Genomic DNA, 19,398 nt, shown 5'->3' with positions numbered 1-19,398 from the left:
TTGGAATTGACATTCAAAAATCAATCAATCTGATTCAAACATTAAGAGAAAAAGGAGAAAAAATATGATCTCAAAAAAGGAATAAAAGGCATTTGATAAAAATCAATATACACTGTGTATTGATATGGTTTGGCTGTGTCCCCACCCAAATCTCACCTTGAATTGTAGCTCCCATAATTCCCATGTGTCATGGGAGGGACCTGGTGGAAGGTAATTGAATCATGGGGGCAGGTCTTTCCCATGCTATTCTCATGATAGCGAATAAGTCTCACGACATATGATGGTTTTATAAAGGGAAGTTGCCCTGCACATGCTTTCTCTTACCTGTTACCATGTAAGACATGACTTTGCTCCTCATTTGCCTTCTGCCATGGTTGTGAGGCCTCCCCAGCCATGTGGAACTGTGAGTCAGTTAAACCTTTTTTCTTTATAAATTACACAGTCTCAGGTATGTTTTTATTAGCAGCGTGAGAATAGACTAATACATGTGTTAAGGATAAAAACTTGTGGTGAATTAAAAATTAAAAAAACAAAATATTTTTAACATAAAAAATGTATTCACAAAAATTCTACAGCACACATCATCCTTAAAGGTATAAAAATTTTCCTAAAATTAGGAAACCAAAAATGATACCTAAAATTATCTCTTCTATCCAACGTTGTGTTGGGGTCCATGGCCCAGAAAATGAAGCACATCGTTCATGACAGCAGATAATTCCAAAGACTTTTCAAAGTGGCTACACCATGCCACACTTCCTTAAAGATTATAATAAAACTCGCACTGTTCCAAGTCCTTGTCAACACTTATATTTTCCATCTTTAGATTTAACCATTGTTTTGGCTGTATCTGTATCCCATACAATTTTAATCTGCATTTCCTAATGACTAATGAGTTTGGGTTTGTGCTAGGAAGTTCATTTTTGAGCTGATCATCTTCTTCATTTGACATGTTAGTTTAGGTCTCCTGCTCATTTTTCTTTTCCTCTCTTTTATTATTGACTCATAGGAGTTTGCTTTGTGTTTTAGAAATTGTTATCATTGCTGGTTATATGGCTTAACAAGAAGAAATTATCCCAGTTTGTGGCTTCCTTTTCCATACTCTTTTTGGTGTCTTTTGATGAATAGAAGCTCTTAATTTAATATGGTCAAAATTATTTCTCTTTTCCTATGTATTGCTCTTTTTCCCCTGCTTAGTATGTTTTCACCTCACCAAGGTCATGAAGCTAGTCTCCTACGTATTATCTGCAAGTTTATTATTTCATCTTTCATATTTATATCTATAATACTTCTATAATATCTTCTTACTGATGTCATAAGTTACATTTTTTTCAATACAGATATTTATTTGACCACTATCATGTTTCATTTTATCCTTGGGTCTTTGTTTTCTTGTCTGAAAGAATAAGGCAACTCTTGGTAGTAAAAACCAAAAATAAAATTTTAAGCCTCTAACCATCTGAATGGATCAGACCCCTCCTCTTAGCCAAGAGCATTCCAAAGGTAACCAGAAAAACTTGTTCAGGCCATGATGGAAAGGGGAAGTTGGGCATGTCTCATTATACCATCTTCCCTTTTGTTATTCAGGCACAGCTGACAAGCATTAAAATCAACACAAGCCTGAAGACTGATAGAACAGACTCTTTAAGTCTGATAAGAAACATTTACAATCCATTCTCTCTGAAGCCTGCTATCTGAAGGCTTCATCTGCATGATAAAACATTGACCTCCACAACCCCTTATTGTAGCCCAGACTATTCTTTCTATTAATTCCAGGTCTTATTTTATTTTACTTTATTTTTGACACAGCGTCTCACTCGTCACCCAGGCTGGAGTGCAGTGGTGCAATCTTGGTTCACTACTACCCCTGCCTCCTGAGTTTAAGCAATTCTCCTGCCTCAGCCTCCCAAGTAGCTGGGACTACAGGTGTGCACCACCATGCCCAGCTAATTTTTGTAATTCTAGTAGAGATGGGATTTCATTATATTAGCTGGGCAGGTCTTGAACTCCTGACCTCAACTGATTCTCCTGCCTCGGCCTCCCGAAGTGTTTGGATTACAGGCATGAGCCACTGCACCTGGCCTGATTCCAGGTCTTTAGATAATAACTCTTTCAACCAATTGTCAATAAGAAAATCTTTGAATCCATCTATGACGTGGAAGCCCCCGTTTCCAGTTTTCCCACGTTTCTGGACCAAAGCAATGTACATCTTGCATGTATTGATTAATGTCTTGTCTCCCTGAAATGTATAAAACCTAGTTGTAACCCAATCACCTTAGGCACATGTCATCAGGACCTCCTGAGGCTGTGTCACAGGCATTTCCTTAGCTTTGGCAAAATAAGCTTTTAAACTGATTGAGACTTGTCTCAGGTACTTTTTAGTTTACAATAGGATATATAGGCTTTCTTTCCATTGTCATCTCATTGATTATTTCCTCCTAGACATTGCTAAGGTTTTTGCACTGATATCTGCTTTTAGGCATAAGTTGATTAACTGAGATTTTAGGTCAATCTTCTAGATATGAGAATAGTGTGAGAAGGCTGAGTGTTTGCTAAAAGAAAGAAAGTTATCTTGTGAATTGAGGCTATCTTGTGCACTATCAAGCCCACATGTGTAGTTAATATGGATAGAGAAGGGGAGAAAGTGAGAGCTTGGATGAGTAACCCATAGATCATTCCATGAGACTAAGCTTTATCTATTTTTTTCTATCTTGAGCAAACCTTTTGCTTTAAATACTGTTTCAGAATAACTAGGATGCATCTTACATTACACAAGACAAACTGGTTGTATGCATGATGAAGCTTCATTCTCCCTCCTACTTCCAACAAATCCACTTATAATTATTCTCTAGGATGTTGCCTGATTATTGTTGTGAGATTGAAAACTACATACAGTTGTATGGGAAGACCTCATCTCCCATGTGTGTCCATGATTTACATTGTGAAGGCAAAGTCAGCCTCACTCAGAATGAGAAATGTGCCCCCAACTTGATGGCCTTTCTCTTATGCTATAAAGCAAGGGGAGAAAAGATTCACACTCTTTTTTTCTTTGAAACAGAGTCTCACTCTGTCACCCAGGCTGGAGTGCAGAGGCGTGATCTCAGCTCACTGCAACCTCGTCTCCTGGGTTCAAGAGATTCTCCTGCCTCAACCTCTTGAGTAGCTGGGACTACAGGCACCACCATGCCTGGTTACTTTTTTTTTTGTATTTTTAGTAGAGACAGTGTTTTGCCATGTTGGCCAGGCTGGTTTCGAACTCCTGACCTCAAGCAATCCACCCGCCTCACCCTCTCAAAGTGCTGGGATTACAGGCATGAGCCACTGCACCCAGCAGATTCACACTCTTCGTAAGATTATAGATGTCATCCTATTATGCTTAGTCTGTATGTAAATGCCTGAATGACTTATTACAGAGTCTTTCTCATTCTGGGTTACTGTATTTTTACTTGACTTTAAAAATAATAACTCACTTTAGGATGCCAAATCTTTTTAAAGGAGACTATATGTATGTTGGTGACACCTTAAGAGAGGAAGTAAGAGGGAAAAGATGAGCCTGAAAGCTTTTGTGTGAGAACCCGGCAGCTTCCTGCTATCCAGCTAATTATTGTTCTTGTGCACACGGTTACTGACTTCCTTTCCTAACCATTTCTTATAACCCGACTACTAGAACTTCTCAAAGTGTTGTTTCTATTACACAATTAGTGTTCATTCAATCAAGCAATACTTTGGGAAATAGACTGAGGGAGGGGTTAGAATAAACTGTCTACTCTAAAGGTTGTGCCTTGAAAATTCGTATTAAACAGAATAATCATTGTTTGAAACTTTTGTAGGAGATGATTCTTTCAATGGCAGATCTTTAGAGACCCATATAAAACCAAAAATTTGTTCTTTTGCTTTATGGCCAATAGCAGCACATCACAGCTTCAAAAAAACAACACATATGATCTAGAAAATCCATCCAAAAAAAATTTCCGTAGACAAGTAAACACTTACTTATTGCCAGATACAAGCAATAGCATTACGGGTCCTGAGAGAAGTTCTGGGTCACTGAAGAATGGGTTATATAATGTATCTGAAAGAAACCTTCAGAAACCCTACCATAGTGTACCGCCGCCTCCCTCGTGTTCCAGCCTTGAAGGCGGCTACCAGGGGTCCTGCCCACAACTGTTTCACCCTCACCCCAGCCCTCAGGGAGCCTTCTTCCTCATGCTCCCCTCCTATCTTACTGGATCATCCTGTGGCCTCTTTCACAATCCTGGTTCTTTTTCTCAGAGTGTGTCCCTCATTTTTGCCACTGTGGAGGGGTTTAGCTTTCCTCAGTTTCTTGAGTGAGGTTACCTGCACAGTTAAATAAATGCTGGGCAGCCCAACAAACACCAAAGAGAAGGATCCTGAGAAGAAAAAAGAGGAATAGATACAAATACCTGGACCTTAACTTTATTTTCATTGCAGTGCATTGAATCACATTGCGTTATGTTAACTGATAGGATGCTACCTTTCATATGTCAAGCTATACTGATATCCTGCCAATTCAAAGAAGAGGTGGATAATAGCCTTCTCTACAGAACGAAGAAAATCTTGCCTTTTAAGTAATAATCACACTGTTACTGAAAAATTACCCAAATCAGATAGTAATTTTACTGTAGACTCTTTCTTATTTGCTAGAAATTTCTTTTAGTCTCAACTTCACTTATATTTCTTTTTCCTAAAAATATTCACTTTCATCTAAGGTATTCATTTTAAGTTTTCTACTTTTTGAAAAATGTGTATTCAAATTTCTAACCTGCATTGAGTTACATTCTTTTTCAAGATTAATTCAATTCTTGTAAAATTGCTACTTGGTGCCTTTGTGTATCATTCTAGACCTTTTGAAACAGGTAAGAGTTAGAGATACAAGATTAGTCTTACATGTCTGAATTTTCCCTTTGGTGAAGATAAAAAAAGCAGGCTTTAGAGCCAGACAGACATGAGATAGAGTCCTGGCTTTAAGTATCTGCTATCTGACCTAGGGTGATATTTAAATTGTCTAGGTTTCAGTCTCCTCTTCTATAAAATGGAGGCGTGATGCTCATTTTGAGGACTTCTGCTAAGAATATGAAATAATTTAATGTTCATCAAAGGACACAGCTCATAACCGAACACAATCAACATTCAGTGAATCCTTGTTGAATGAATAAATGAGTGCGTGAGTGAATAGAGAAGAATGAATAAAGTTTTTTATTGCTTTTTTAAAGGAAACATGCAATTTTGATACTTTTAGTCTTTCTGTATCTTGGTCATAAAAAGGTTTGAATGGACTTTACGGGGTTCTAACCCTGGTCAACAGCCAAACCCTACTGTACTCAATAGCTATTGATTTGGGTTGATTACAGCTCAGTAATCAACAAAGACCACACAGTCCTTCATTGAAAATTTTGAGACAAAGCTCTATTTCAGAATTTACAAATTTTCAGAACCTTATAAGATATGTATATAATGTATACCTATTATGTGGGATAAAGACTATAAATATCCTCTCTTCAGTTTAGCATTCACAGCTAAATGTTTTCAAATCAAGTCAAACCTTAAGACTGAATAAATTATAATTTTTTGTTTGTTTTTAAAAAATTCCGGATACTAGAATTGTGAATAAGAAAGTGTAGAAGTATAACATGATCAATTATTAAATTGGGATAATTGTAGATTCACATGCAATTGTAAGAATTAATAGAGACATCTATCATACAACATGGTTACTGTAGTTTATAATAAATTACATTCTTGAAAAATGCTGGGTGGATATAAAGTATTCTCACAAAAATGATAACTATGTGAGATATTGCATATGTTAATTGGCTAGATTTAGTCATTCCACAATGTATAACCACTACAAAACATCATGTTGTACATCGGAAATACATATAATTTTATCTGTCAATTAAAAAAATTAAAAAAGAAACATTTAAAAAAAATTTATATGGAGAGATCCATTGCACTCATTGTCCTGTTCCCCACAAAGGTAGCATTTTTGCAAAACTCTAGTATTACAGCCAGGATATAGGTATTGACATAATCCACTAATCTTATTAAGATTTCCCCAGTTTTACCTGTATTCATTCTGTATGTGTGTATTAAGTTCTGTATATTTTGTCACTTGTGTAGGCTCATGTATTCAACATAGTCAATATCTGAATAGTTCCAACACCAAAAGGATCCCTGTGTTACCCTTTTACAACCACACCTGCACACCTCCTTCCCTTCACCCAATGCCCCACTCTGGCAATCACTGATCTGTTCTCTATTCTTAAAATTTTGTCAACTTGAAAATGTTATATAAATGAAATCATACAGTAGGTAACCTTTGGTTAAATTTCCATTTCTACATGTTCATTGTTAGTAGATAGAGATGAGATAATTGATTCTGTGTCCTGTGACTTTACTCAACTCATTTATTATTACTGGGAGGTTTTTGGATTTTTTATTTTAAGTAAATTCCTTGGGAATTTCTACGTGGACAATTTTCTTCTGCAAATAGAGATAATTTTGTTTCTTCCTTTCCAATCTGTATGTCTTTATTTTTCTTGCCTTCATGCAATGGCAAGAACTTCCAGCACTGTGTTGAATACGAGTGGTGAGAGTGGACATCTCTGCCTGCTCCCTTCTTAGGGAGAAAACCTTCAGTCTTTCACCATTAACTATGATGTTAGAGGTAGGTGTTTTTTTTTGTAGATACTCTTATAAATTTGAAGTAATTCTCTTCTGTTTCTATCTTGTTGAGAGTTTTTATTAGGAATGGGTGTTATATTTTCTTGAAATGCTTTTCCTGCATCAATTGATAAGATCATATGACTTGTCTTCCTCTTGTTTGTATGGTAAATTATGTGGATTGATTTTCAGATGTCAAACCAGGCTTGTGTACTTGGAATAAATCTTACTTGGTTATGGTGGTTTGATTGGACACTGCAGAATTTAGTTTGCTAATATGTTGTAGATAGCTTTTGTGTCTAAGTCCATAAGAAATATTGACCTGTAGCAGTATTTCTAGCATTGACTGTGTCCAGTGTTGATAGAAAGGTAATGTTGGCCTCATAAAATGAGTTGACAAGATTTCCCTGTTTCCTATTTTCTGCCAGACACTGTGTAAAATGGCTATTATGTTTTGTAAAAAATGTTTTGAAGAGCTCTTCAGGTCAACCTTTTGGGCCTGGACATTTCCTTTTAGGGAGCTTTTAAATTATGAATTTGGTGGTTATAGGTTTATTAAGATTATCATTTCATCTCAGGTGAGTTTTGGTAGTTTGGGGTTTTGAGGAGTTGGTCTATACTTTCTAAGTTATAAAATTTACCAGCATATCTTTCTCCATCCTTTTACTTTCAACTAACCTATGTTGTGGAATTTGAAGTGAGTTTCTTGTAAGTAGCACGCAGTTGGACTATCTGTATTTGTTTTTACCACCTCACCAATCTTTTAATTGGTGTATTTAAGGTAATTATTGATATGTTAGGGCCTACATCTGGACTCTTAGTTTATGGGTGTTGCAACTTTTGTTGTTGTCGCTGAGGTTTCTTAGGCTCTGTTCACTCTTGTTTTTTCTTTCCAGACTATTTTCTTTTGGTTGTTCAGGTTAGGTAAATTAAATTGTTCTGTCTTCAAATTCACTCATTGTATCCCCTGTCTTTACTAGTAGGAGCATGGTGTCAACTGAAAACAAAAAATATTATATTATTGTATTTTTTACTTCTATAATTTCCACTTGGTTCTTTTTTTTTTTTTAGAAACTATTTATTTGCAGTTTTTTTTAAAATTTTTCCATTTGTTTCAAGAGAACTTGTAATTGATTGTTGCAGCATTTTGGTGTCAATCTTTATGATTTGCCCATGGATTTGGCCAAAAAAATCTAACATAGAAGCTGGCTAGAAGTGCATTTGTTTCATTACTCCCAAGTCTTTCTTTGGTCTCTTGGTTTTCCTAATGATGTAATTGGTAATTTCCAATAAAACAGTTTGTGTTTGATGTTCACATAGCTGTTCATTTCAGTGAGACTCAGAACAATTTGTATAGCAGACAAAGTTATGAAAAATGTGCTGCGAAGTTAAACTGAACTTTAAAAAAACATATAAAAGAAAGCATTGGCTTAGAGCTAGTTAGACTTTTACATGAATTTTGAATTGTGTGATCTTCTCAATCTCTTGTTTGTTGAGGGCCATTTTACTGGAGCTAGTACAATAAGGGAAGACAAGAAAATAAAGGTAAAAAGATTATAACAGAAAAAGTAAAAGTGTAATTATTCTAATTCAACATAATTGTAATTATAAAAAATCTTTTCAGCATTACAGATAAACTATTAGGTAAGTGAATTTAGCAAGGCCACCTGGTTCAACACCATCATATAAAAACCCGTTGTATTTGATACATCAGTGGCAAACAAAAAGAAAATGAAAATTTAAAAATATGTAATTTAACATTAAAAAATCAAATAACTAAGAATAAATCTATAAAAAAGATGTAAAATATTTATACCGAAAAGTATAAAAGATAGTTGAGAATATATATGTTTTATAAATATGTATACTAATTTCTATTTGAGACAAGGTCTTGCTCTGTTGCCCAGGCTAGATTGCAGTGGCGCAATCATGACTCACTGCGGCCTTAACCTGCCGGGCTCGAGCAAACCTCCACCTCAGCCTCCCAAGTAGTGGTGTCCCGGACCAAACTGAGGGTCAGGCTGCTATTTCTCGTGGCCCCAAAATAAGATGCAGATGAACTGGGGAGGAAGATAGTTTTTATTTCTGCAACTGGTTACAGGGAGAAGGCCTGGAAATTATCACCAGACCAACTCAAAATTACAAAGTTTTCCAGAACTTACATACCTTCTAAGCTATATGTCTACATATAAGTGTGCATTCATCTAAAGGCATAAGTGATTAACTTCTTTTAATCTGTAACTAAGGTCTGAGTCCTGAAGATCTTCCTCTGGTGCCTCAGTAAATTTACTTAATCTAAATGGATCCAGGTGCTGGGGTGATTACCCTTATCTTGTCTCCTGCTAAATCACAGAGGTTTGGGGATTTCCTTCAGACCCTCAATAAACTTGTTTGTGGAGGCCTGGGGAGTTTCTTCAGACCCACAATAAGCTTGTTTAATTCTAAATGGGTCCTGCTAAGAATTCCTTCATTATTTTGTCATGCTTTAAGGCCCAGGAAAGGCCTTGGCAAAACTCTCGGTGGGCTTTTGTTACATCCCAGCCTTTGTATAAGGGGGCTGGCTTTTAATATTTAACTTAACCACCCAGTCAGTACTGAAACAGTTGTTATGGAAGCCTGCATTAGTGAGACCTGGCCTGCCACAGTGGGGCCTACAGGCATGTGCCACTATGCCCGACTAATTTTTTGCATTTTATGTAGAGGCAGGGTTTGCCATGTTGCCCAGCTGTTCTCAAATTCCTGGGCCAATCTGATCCACCCATCTCAGCCTCCCAAGGTGCTGCCATTATAGGTGTGAGCCAGTGTGCCTGGCCTTGAGAAAAAAAATATTTTTAAAAGACCAAAATAAATGAAAGAACGTACTATGTTCGTGAAATGGGAGACACATTATTGTACAGAACTCAATTCTTTTAAAATTATCATAGTTTAATGCAATATTGGTCGAACTCTAGACAAGTTTTGTTGTGTGTGTGCATGTGCAGAAATTGACACAGTATTTCTAAAATTTGGTGTAAATGCAAATAAATATTTCTTCCAATTTACTTCAGGCAATAGCTTTACTAAATATTTCATGGCTACGTAACACCATTTTCAGCCTCCTATAATAGTTTTCTCACTACCCATTTTCTGGTTCTCAAACCAAACTTACATCTTCGAGGTTTTATTATGGTATCATCCCACTTCCATGTACCTATTTGTCTTTATTAAATATTGCTACATAATGAAAAATGAGAATATTGCAGTGGCATACAACAATATAAACTTATTTAGTTCACAAATCTGTGGGTCAGCTGAGTGCCAGTTGGTCTAGACTGGGTTCACCTAGGTGGTTCTGTGGATCTTGGGCTTATTCATACATCTGCAGGTCAGATGTGAGTGGTTAGGCTCAGCTGGACTGACTTGGCCAGGGCAACTCTGTTTCATGCTCATCCCCTGCTGAGAATAGTCAGGGCATATTTTTCTCATGACAATGACAGAAGTGTAAGAGTAAAAGCCCAATCATATGAGTGCTTTTTAAGCCTTAAAAAGCAGTGCCTGCTAACATTCCATTGGCCAAAGCAAGTCATTCGTCCAAGTCCAAAGTCAGGTAAGTGAGGGCAAATTATTCTCTACCCATGCAGGAAAGACAAATATTTTTGAAAAATAATCTAATCTATCATAATTTGTAATGAACTATTTTATTTTTTAAAAAATATGATTTTTTTAGAGCAGTTTTAGGTTCACAGCAAAATGGTGCAAAAGTACAAAGAATTCTCATGCATCAACCTCTCCCACCTGACAGTTTTCGTCTTGAATTAGTAGGGAGCATTTGTTACATTTGATGAATCAACATTGACACATTATTATTATTAACTATATAGTTTACATTAGGGTTCACACTTAGTGCAGTACAGTCCTATGGGTTGTGACAAATGCATAATGTCTAGTATCCATCATTGCAGTATCATACAGAGTAGTTTCACTGGCCTAAAAATCCCCTGTGCTCAACCTATTTTTTGTTCCCTATATCCAAACCCCTGGCAACCTGATCTTTTTACTGTGTCCATAGTTTTTCCTTTTCTGGAATGCATATAACTAAAATCATACAGTATATTACTGTTTTCAGATTGGCTTCCCTCTCATACACATTTAATTTTTCTCTACGTCTTCCCATGGCTTGATGGCTCATTTCTTTTTAGCCCTAAGTAACATCCCATTATTTAGATGTGCCAGATCATTTACCTACTCTGCTATGGAAAGACATCTAAGTTGCTTCCAAATTCTGGCAATTATGAATAAAGCTGTAACAGATATCTATGTATAAGTTATTATGTGGACATACATTTTCAATTCATTTCAGTAAATAGCAACGGATGCAATTTCTGGACCATATGATAACATATGTTTAGTTTTGTAAGAAATAGCTTAACAGCTGCACCATTTTGCATTCCCACGAGCATTTGCTCGTTTCCCATTCTCTACAGCTTTTGATGGTGTTAGGGTTTTTTATTTTAACCACATGCACGCCTGTCATTGTTTTAATTTGCAATTCTCAAATGACATATGATGTTGAGTATGTTTTCACATTCTTGTTTGTCGTCTATATATCTTCTTTGATGAGATGTCTTCAAATCGATTCCATTTTTTGCTCCTTGTTGAATTTTAAGTTTTTTTAAAAACATATTTTGCATTATGTGGGTTATTTATGAGATACAAGGTATGTATTTGCAAATATATTCTCCCAGTCTGTGGCTTATCTTTTTATTCTCTTGATACTGTCTTTTAGAGAAAAAATTTTGTAATTTTAGTGAACTCCAGTTTATAAATTATTTATTTCATGGATCATGTTTTTGGTGTAGAGTTAAAAATCATGATCAAGCTTAAGGTCATCTAACTTTTTTCTATGTTATCTTCTGTAAGTTTCATAATTTTGCATTTTGCATTTAGGCCTATGACTCATTTTGAATTAAGGATGTAAGTTCAGTGTCTAGGTTCACTTTTCTATATGTGGGTGTCTAGTTGTTCTAGCATCATTTGTTGTAAAAATAATTCTTTCTCCACTGTATTGTCTTTTCTCCTTCATCAAAGATCAGTTGACTTCATGTTTGTGGTTCTATCTCTGGTTTCTAGTCTGTTCCTTTAATCTATTTATCTTATGCCACACTGTCTTGATTACTGTAGCTTCAGTATTGTATTGGCTGTTCTTGGTCTTTTGTCTCTTCAAATAAACTTTAGAACAAGTTTGCCTATATCCTCAAAATAAATTTCTGGGAGTTTCATTGGGATGGCATTGAATCTATAGGTCGAGTTGGGAAGAGCTGACATCTTACTAATGCTGAGTCTTTCCAGAAATTGATCATATCTCCATTTATTTAGTTCTTTGATTTCTTTCACCAGAGTTTAATAGTTTTCCTCAGCTAAATCTTATAAATACTTTGTTAAATTTATAACTATTTTATTTTGGGGGTGCTATTATAAATGATATTTTGTTTTTTTCTCAAAATCCCATTATTCTTTGCTGAAATTGATTTGATTAAATGTATGTATATATATATATGTATATATATAAAATATATATGACTATTCAGATTGTCTATTTCTTCTTGTGTGAGTTTTGGCAGATTGTGTCTTTCAAAAATTGTTCAATTTCATCTAGGTTTTTGAATTTGTGAGCATAAGATTGTTCTACATATATATATATATATATTTATTTATTTATTTATTTTTTTTTGAGACAGAGTCTTGCTCTGTTGCCCAGGCTGGAGTGCAGTGGCGTGATCTCGGCTCACCACAACCTCCGCTTCCTTGGGTTCAAGCGATTCTCCTGCCTCAGCATCCTGAGTAGCTCATTGTTATCGTTTTAATATCCACAGAATATGTGGTGATGACCTCTTTCATTTCTGATATTAGTAATTTGTTATATCTCTATTTTTCTTAGTTACTCTGGCTAGAGTGTTACTAATTTTATTGAATTTTTAAAAGAGTCATCTTTTGGTTTCACTGATTTTTTTAACTGGTATCCTATTTTCAGTTTTATTGATTTCAGTTCCAATTTTTATTACTTGTTTTCTTCTGCTTACTTCAAATTTAATTTGCTCTTCTTTTTCTAGTTTCCTAAGTGGAAACTTAGGTTATTGAGTTCAGATTTTCTTCTTTAATATATGCATTCAGTGCTATAAATTTTCCTCTGCTTTCAATGCCTTCCACAAATTTTGAAAAGTTGAATTTTTATTTATTTCAAAAATTTTTAAATTTCTCTTAAGATTTCCCATGTGTTTCCTAGAAATGTGCTGTTTAACTTCCAGGTTGGGATTTTCCACTATCTTCCTATTGTTGATTTCCAGTTTAATTCCTCTGTGGCCTTAATGGCCTGAGAGCAAACATTGCATGATTGCTATTCTTTTAAATTTGTTAAGTGGTTTTTTTTTTTTTCAGAATACAGTTTATCTTGGTTAGTATTTCATGTAGGCTTGAAGACAATGTGCATAATTTTATACATGTTAATTAAAGTGAATTAATTAATGATGCTATTGAGTTCAACTGTGGCCTTACTGATTTTCTGCCTGCTGGTCTAACGGATGGAGGGGTGTTGAATTCTCCAGTGTAATAGTAAATTTATCTGTTTCCCATTGAAGTTATTTCACTTTGTGGCTCACATGTATTGACACTCTGTTGCAAGGTACATACACATTAAGGATTGCTATGTCTTCTTGGAGACTTGACTAATTTATCGTTATGTGATGCCCTTCTTTATCTTTGCCAATTTTCCTTGCTCTGAAGTCGGCTCTGTCTGACATCAATATAACAACTCCACCTTTCATTTGATTAGTGTTAGCATGATGTATCTTCCTCCATCCCCTTATTTTCAATCTATCTGTATTTTTATATTTGAAGTTGATTTCTTTTAGATGACATATAGTTGGCTGTTGTTTCACTCTGACAGTCTCTGTCTTTTGATTGTATATTTAGACCAGTAGGATTTACGGTGATTATTGATGTAGTTGAATTAATATCTACCCTATTTGTTACTCTTTTCTATTGACTCTCTTTGTCTTTGTTTCTGCTTTCTGTGGTTTAAATTGGGCATTTTATATGACTTTATTTTCTTTCCTTTCTTCGCACATCAATTATACCTCTCCCCTCCCCCCATTCTTTTAGTGGTTACCCTAGTGTTTGCAATACATATTTACAACTAATCCAACTCCATCTTCACATAACACTATACTACTTTCTAGGTAGTAAAAGTTCCTATAATAAAGCTTTTCTAATATCTCTTGCTTGTCCTTTGTATCATTGCTGGCATTAATTTTACTTATTCTTAAACTATAATCAGTGAATGCATTGTTACTACTATTATTTTTAACAAACTATTATCTGTCAGATTAAGAATTTAAAAAAGCAAATTTTCAAAATTTTACTTTTGCTTATTCCTTCCTTAATACTCTTCCTTTCTTTATATAGATCTGATTTTCTATCCTTTTCTCTATCTATCCTTTTCTCAAATAATTTCCTTTAACATATCCCTCAGGAAGACTCTATCGGCAATAAATTCCCTTAAGTTTTTGTTGTCTGAAAGTCTTTATTTCTTTTTCATGTTTGAAAGATAATTTTACTGGATATGGGATTTTAGGTTGGTGGTTTTTTTCTCTCAACATCTTAAATATTTTATTGCATTCTCTTCTTGCTTGTATAATTTTTGAGACAAAGTCTGATATAATTTTTGCCCCTGTTCCTATATAGGTAAATTTTTTTCCCCTCTGGCTTCTTTGAGGATTTCTTTATCTTTGATTTTTCATGATTTGAATATGATATGTTTAGGTGTAGACATTCTGACATTTATCCTGCTTGATGTTTTTTGAGCATTCTATAAAGATATGAAATAAATTTCACAGAAAATTAAAATTTGTAAATTAAATGGTAAGCGTAGAGTTATCCAATAGAAATGTAATGTGGACTATATGTAATTTTAAATGTTTTAATTCCCATGTTTAAAAAGCTAAAAGTAATGGTAAATATGGGTGATTATGTCTATATTAGTTAATTTGACAGTGGTAATCAGTGCACAATATATATGCATATCAAATCATCACATTGTACAGCTTGAATATATACAATTTTTACTTGTCAATTAAATATTTAAAAGTAAAATTAATTTTAGTAATATAGTTTGACTCAATATATTTAAATATTATCATTTTACCATGTAATCAATATAGAATTATAAATTATATAGTATATTATATTTCTTTTATTGATATTAGTTCTTTGACATCTGTTGTTTATTTTACACTCACAACCCATGTTAATTTATACTACCTGTATTTCAAGTGCTCAGTAGTCATACATGGCTTGAGGTTACTGTATTAGACAGTGAAGGTCTAAACATTTTTGTATGCTAAAAGACTTCATAATATAAATATTTAAAAAACTAAATTACTATAATAAAACATTTTAAATATGCTTATACATATACTTACATAAATAATCTTAGCATGGGAGAGAATTTTAAAGCAAAATAGATACACAAACTCACAAATAACTTAATGGAAAAAGGCACATAGACAGCTTACATACATGTGAAAAGATACTCAGCCTTATCCATAACTAACTAAATAAAAACAAACACAATTTTTTAAATCAACTTTCCAGGCATAATAAAAGTGTTAGGAGGATTGTAAAGGTATAGTAACATGGGGGCCCTCATGTAGAGCTGGTGGGTCACTATGTTTAGTGGGGAGTTATTATTCCATTCTAGTACAGATAGGTATAAAATTCCAGGCTGAATTTTTTTATTTCAACATTTTAAATGTTTGACTGCATTCCTCTTTCTTGCATGGATTTTGACAGAAAACCTACTGTAATTCTTTTCTTTATTCCTCTATAGATAGGGTATTTATTTTTTCTGGCTTCTTTTGAGATTTATTTTCTTTGCCTTTGATTTTATGTAGTTTGATTATGATACTTCTAAATGAAGGTTTTCAGTATTTAATCTGTTTGATGCTTTCTGAGTTAGCTCGACCTGTGGTTTGATGTCTATTGTAACTTTGGAAAACTCTTGGCTGGGCATGGTGGCTCATGCCTGTAATCCTAGAACTTTTGGAGGCCAAGACAGAAGAATCACTTAAGGCCAGAAATTTGAGACCAGCCTGGGCAACATTGTGAGACCCCATCTAAAAAAAAAACAATTAGAGAGACATGGTGGTGCCCACGTTTAGTTGGACCTGCTAGGGAGGCTGAGATGGAAGGATTGCCTGAGCCTAGGAGTTCAAGGGTGCAGTGAGCTATGATGGTTCCATAGCACTGCAGCCTGGGTGACAGAGTGAGACCCTGTCTCAAAGAAAAATTTAATGAAAATTCTTGGCATTATAATTTAATATTTTTCCTGCTCTGTTCTCTACTTTTTCCTCCTGGTATTCCAGATATTCCTGGTATGTCTATCTCACATATTTGGATATTATCCTATAATTCTTGGATGTTCATTTGTGTTCTTAATTTTTTTCATTAATTTTTGGCATGTCTTGTACCTTTTTCACTGAACACTAGACATGTTGTATTGAGTAATAGTCACTAAAGAACACAGGCTATTAGTGTAAGGATTTGTGTTAATCTCTTTGGCCTCCCAAGAAGAAGGCTGTAACAGTTAAATCCACCCCAGTGTATTTACCTTTTAACTGCAGACGCTAGAGGCTTTAAATTGCTCCTCTGTCCTTATCTTTTTCTCCCCTCCTGACTCTGGGCTCTCCTGGATGCTTTTCTTAGGGGGAGTCTGTAGCTCTTCAAGCTGTAGTCCACTGTTATTACACAGGAACCCTGTTGGTGCAGTGGTGAGGAGTAGAGATGGGCAAGCATTGGAATCTATAATCCTATGACTGAGTCTCAGCCTTTTACTGTGTCCGTGTCCCTGGGCTGTGACCTTCACAGTCTTTTTTGTCTTCCTAGCTGAGACAGCAAGGCTGGAGGGGGCTAGAGTGGGAGCAATGCCCCTGCTCCACCTGGGATGATGCTTTAGCAAAGTTTTTCACCTTGGGGAGCAGTCTATTGTTATGGAGAATGCTCTGGGGTTATTTCACAATAATTTTACAGATCACTTTCTCCTGTCAGAGACATGAGGAGTCTTTTTTTCTTTTTAATCTTTACTATGGGAACCTCATGAGATGCTTGGAGGTAAAACTCAAGAAAGCTTGAAGGAGCCGTCACGCTGCAACATCCAGGACTTTAATCACTCTCCAGTAGTCCACAAAGCCTCCAGCAATTTGTCAAAATTGTTATTGAGATATTCCTACCAGTTTTGGCTCCAGCGCTTTCAGTGGCTTCAGAGATTTCAGATCTTGGCCAACAGGCCTCAGCCATGATTCTCTGGATTCCCCTGTTTCTTTGGATTTTGGGGGGGCAGTTTGCTCTACAGCTCATTTTGTTGATGGTAACAAGAAAAGTTATTGATGTTTAATTTGTTCTGATTTTTTTAATTGTAAGGATTAGGGTGATTAAATTCAAGCATTTTATAGGAACTGAAACCGGAAGTCTTCTATAGTTTCCTTTAAAAAATGTTCATGTCACCAATTTCTCTACAAGTTACATTGATAAAAGGAGGGATGAAAGAATTTTTTTTTTGTTGTTGTTATTTTGTTTTTGAAAATCAAGAACTAATATTTCAGAAGATCAGGTCTATTTTCCATCTGAATATAAGCAGGTAGGGAAATTGCAATAGCATAGAATTAACTTGTCTTTCACTTACAGAAGTTTGACATAACCCAAGACAACATGTTCGTTAAATTTCATAGATGCAAAAGAGAGAATGTGAGTTGAAATTATTTTTTTCTAAATGCTTTCTATATATTTGTTTCTCTAAGATCTTAATCATTCATTAATAATGTTTAGTTTCTAAGATTTCTCACTAAAGCTTGCTTTACTTTCTAAGTTTGTAATTTTAAATTCAGGCAGTTTAAATCCTTTGGAACATATTTATAAAAGTATCCAACAAAATCAATTAGAGAATGAATATTTTCATGTCCTGATCTGTAAACAGTTAAATGTCAAATTTTTCCAAAACAAACAAACAAAAACAAACAAACAAAGAAATCGCCTTTGAGTAAAAACTGACAATGGAAAATTTCAACCAAAGGAAAATTATTCATAAAATTCAAGTGTCTTCAAATTAAAGCTTATAGTGGAAACTGTTTCACAACATTAATTATATTGACCATCCTCCCCAATGTTTATAATGGGTTGCAATATGTAAACTCAATGAGAAAAGCCAAGTACAAAATGTCAGGCCTAAAACCACATAAAGGCTCTTAATAATTTTTCTAATTTCTGTTCCCCTGCAGGCTTCTGTTGCAAAACATAGAAGTCTTCTGCAAGCAGCTGCCACGCCCATATCTCAGAGCCCTAGTGAGTTGTAGAGAAGTTTCAAGAGTTAGAGTATTTCCTCTGTACAGTAACTAAAATAATAAAAGACCACAATTTTTATTCATAAAAATTGAATATAATAAATGCATTTTTATTTGGGAGCTCATTAGTGCCTTAGTCACAGATTGGATATACTTGTGTCTGTATCTGTGCCTGTGTTTGCCCTGAGGCTTATAAATCAAGAGATAATTATTGGTCCAAAGGAAAACAGTATGTGCACTGGGGAAATCTGTGCTATTCTCAACTGCTGCTATTCTCCAGCCTTTCCTCAGTTCCAGTTCAGATGGATGCTTGAGCCCAGAACTCACTTTTCTAGCTCTAGTCTGAAAGGGAATTTTGGTTTGCAAATGGAAAGGGCAATTGGATTCATAAGCCATAGCCACTTATCAGACACTTACTGTTTGCCAAAAAACAACCTCATTTGCTTTCCATCTTTATCCTTACTATAATTCAAGGGGATAAATATTATCCTTCCTCTTTTAAAGATGCCTACTAACTCTTAGGGACTGCTCTTAACTGATTCAACATCCTTCTGGTGGGGAGAGAGTGCCTGGGAAAAGCAAATGAAAGGACTGTAAAAGGGAAAGGGCCAATTCCAAAGAACAGATGGCTGGCCCTCCAGGTGTCTTCTTGGTGAGCACCTGTTACCCTGCCATAGCAGCCCAGTATAGGTTTACTCAACAACTCAACATGTAATCAAGACAACCCTGTGATCTTGCTGAGATGTTCTTATTTGTTGCCATGGCACTATTGGTCCTGAGGCAACTTTAATAAAATCAAGATGGCACTGACTTGTAGAAACTTGGGAAATTTCACTGTGGCTGTGAGGTTTGGCTAGAGTGTGTGGAACTAGGGCGTAGCTGTCTCCACTTCAACTCCAAAGTAGAGATCTGGACAAGAAAGAAAGCCCCTTCCCCTAGTGCAAAATTTTGCAATCTCTTCAATAGTTCACCCCACTCTCTGCCTCCAGATACCTACAAATCCACACCAAATGGCTTGGTTTGGAGCAATGTTTCTAAAAGACATATGAAAACTCAGTCATATGAGGCTGGATGATTACCCTGAGAGATCATCTCCTCCATGCTCCTCCTTGAAAGCTTTTAGCATTTCTTTTTTATTTGGTCTACTCTCTGTCTGCAAACACGAATGTTGTCTTTATTCATCATCTTGACTGCAATGGCACTGTTAGTTCCTCTACCAGCATTGATAGATTAGACAATATAAAAATTTCATTTGTAAGTGTGTCAACTCTGTAAACATGAGAACTATAACATTCTATTATAATGGAGAAGATTGGACTTTTATCACCACTATTCCAAGCAGGGGTGA

General features: G+C 35.2%; 1 long non-coding RNA gene across 1 annotated transcript in view; it reads left to right on the top strand.

The window, feature by feature from the left end:
- The window catches only part of LOC105375268 (uncharacterized), a 79,190-nt gene extending 61,051 nt beyond the window's left edge, over positions 1 to 18,139 (top strand). Inside the window, exons 3-4 of the long non-coding RNA XR_927249.1 lie at positions 17,398 to 17,457; positions 17,988 to 18,139. This is a non-coding gene — a long non-coding RNA (uncharacterized LOC105375268). The remainder of the gene's footprint in view (positions 1 to 17,397; positions 17,458 to 17,987) is intronic.
- The last annotated feature ends 1,259 nt before the right edge of the window (positions 18,140 to 19,398 follow it).

Source organism: Homo sapiens, chromosome 7, assembly GCF_000001405.40.
Source record: "Homo sapiens chromosome 7, GRCh38.p14 Primary Assembly".
Taxonomy (NCBI): Eukaryota; Metazoa; Chordata; class Mammalia; order Primates; family Hominidae; genus Homo; species Homo sapiens.
Note: the sequence above shows the minus strand (reverse complement) of the source record. Positions and strands in the feature narration are given on the sequence as shown.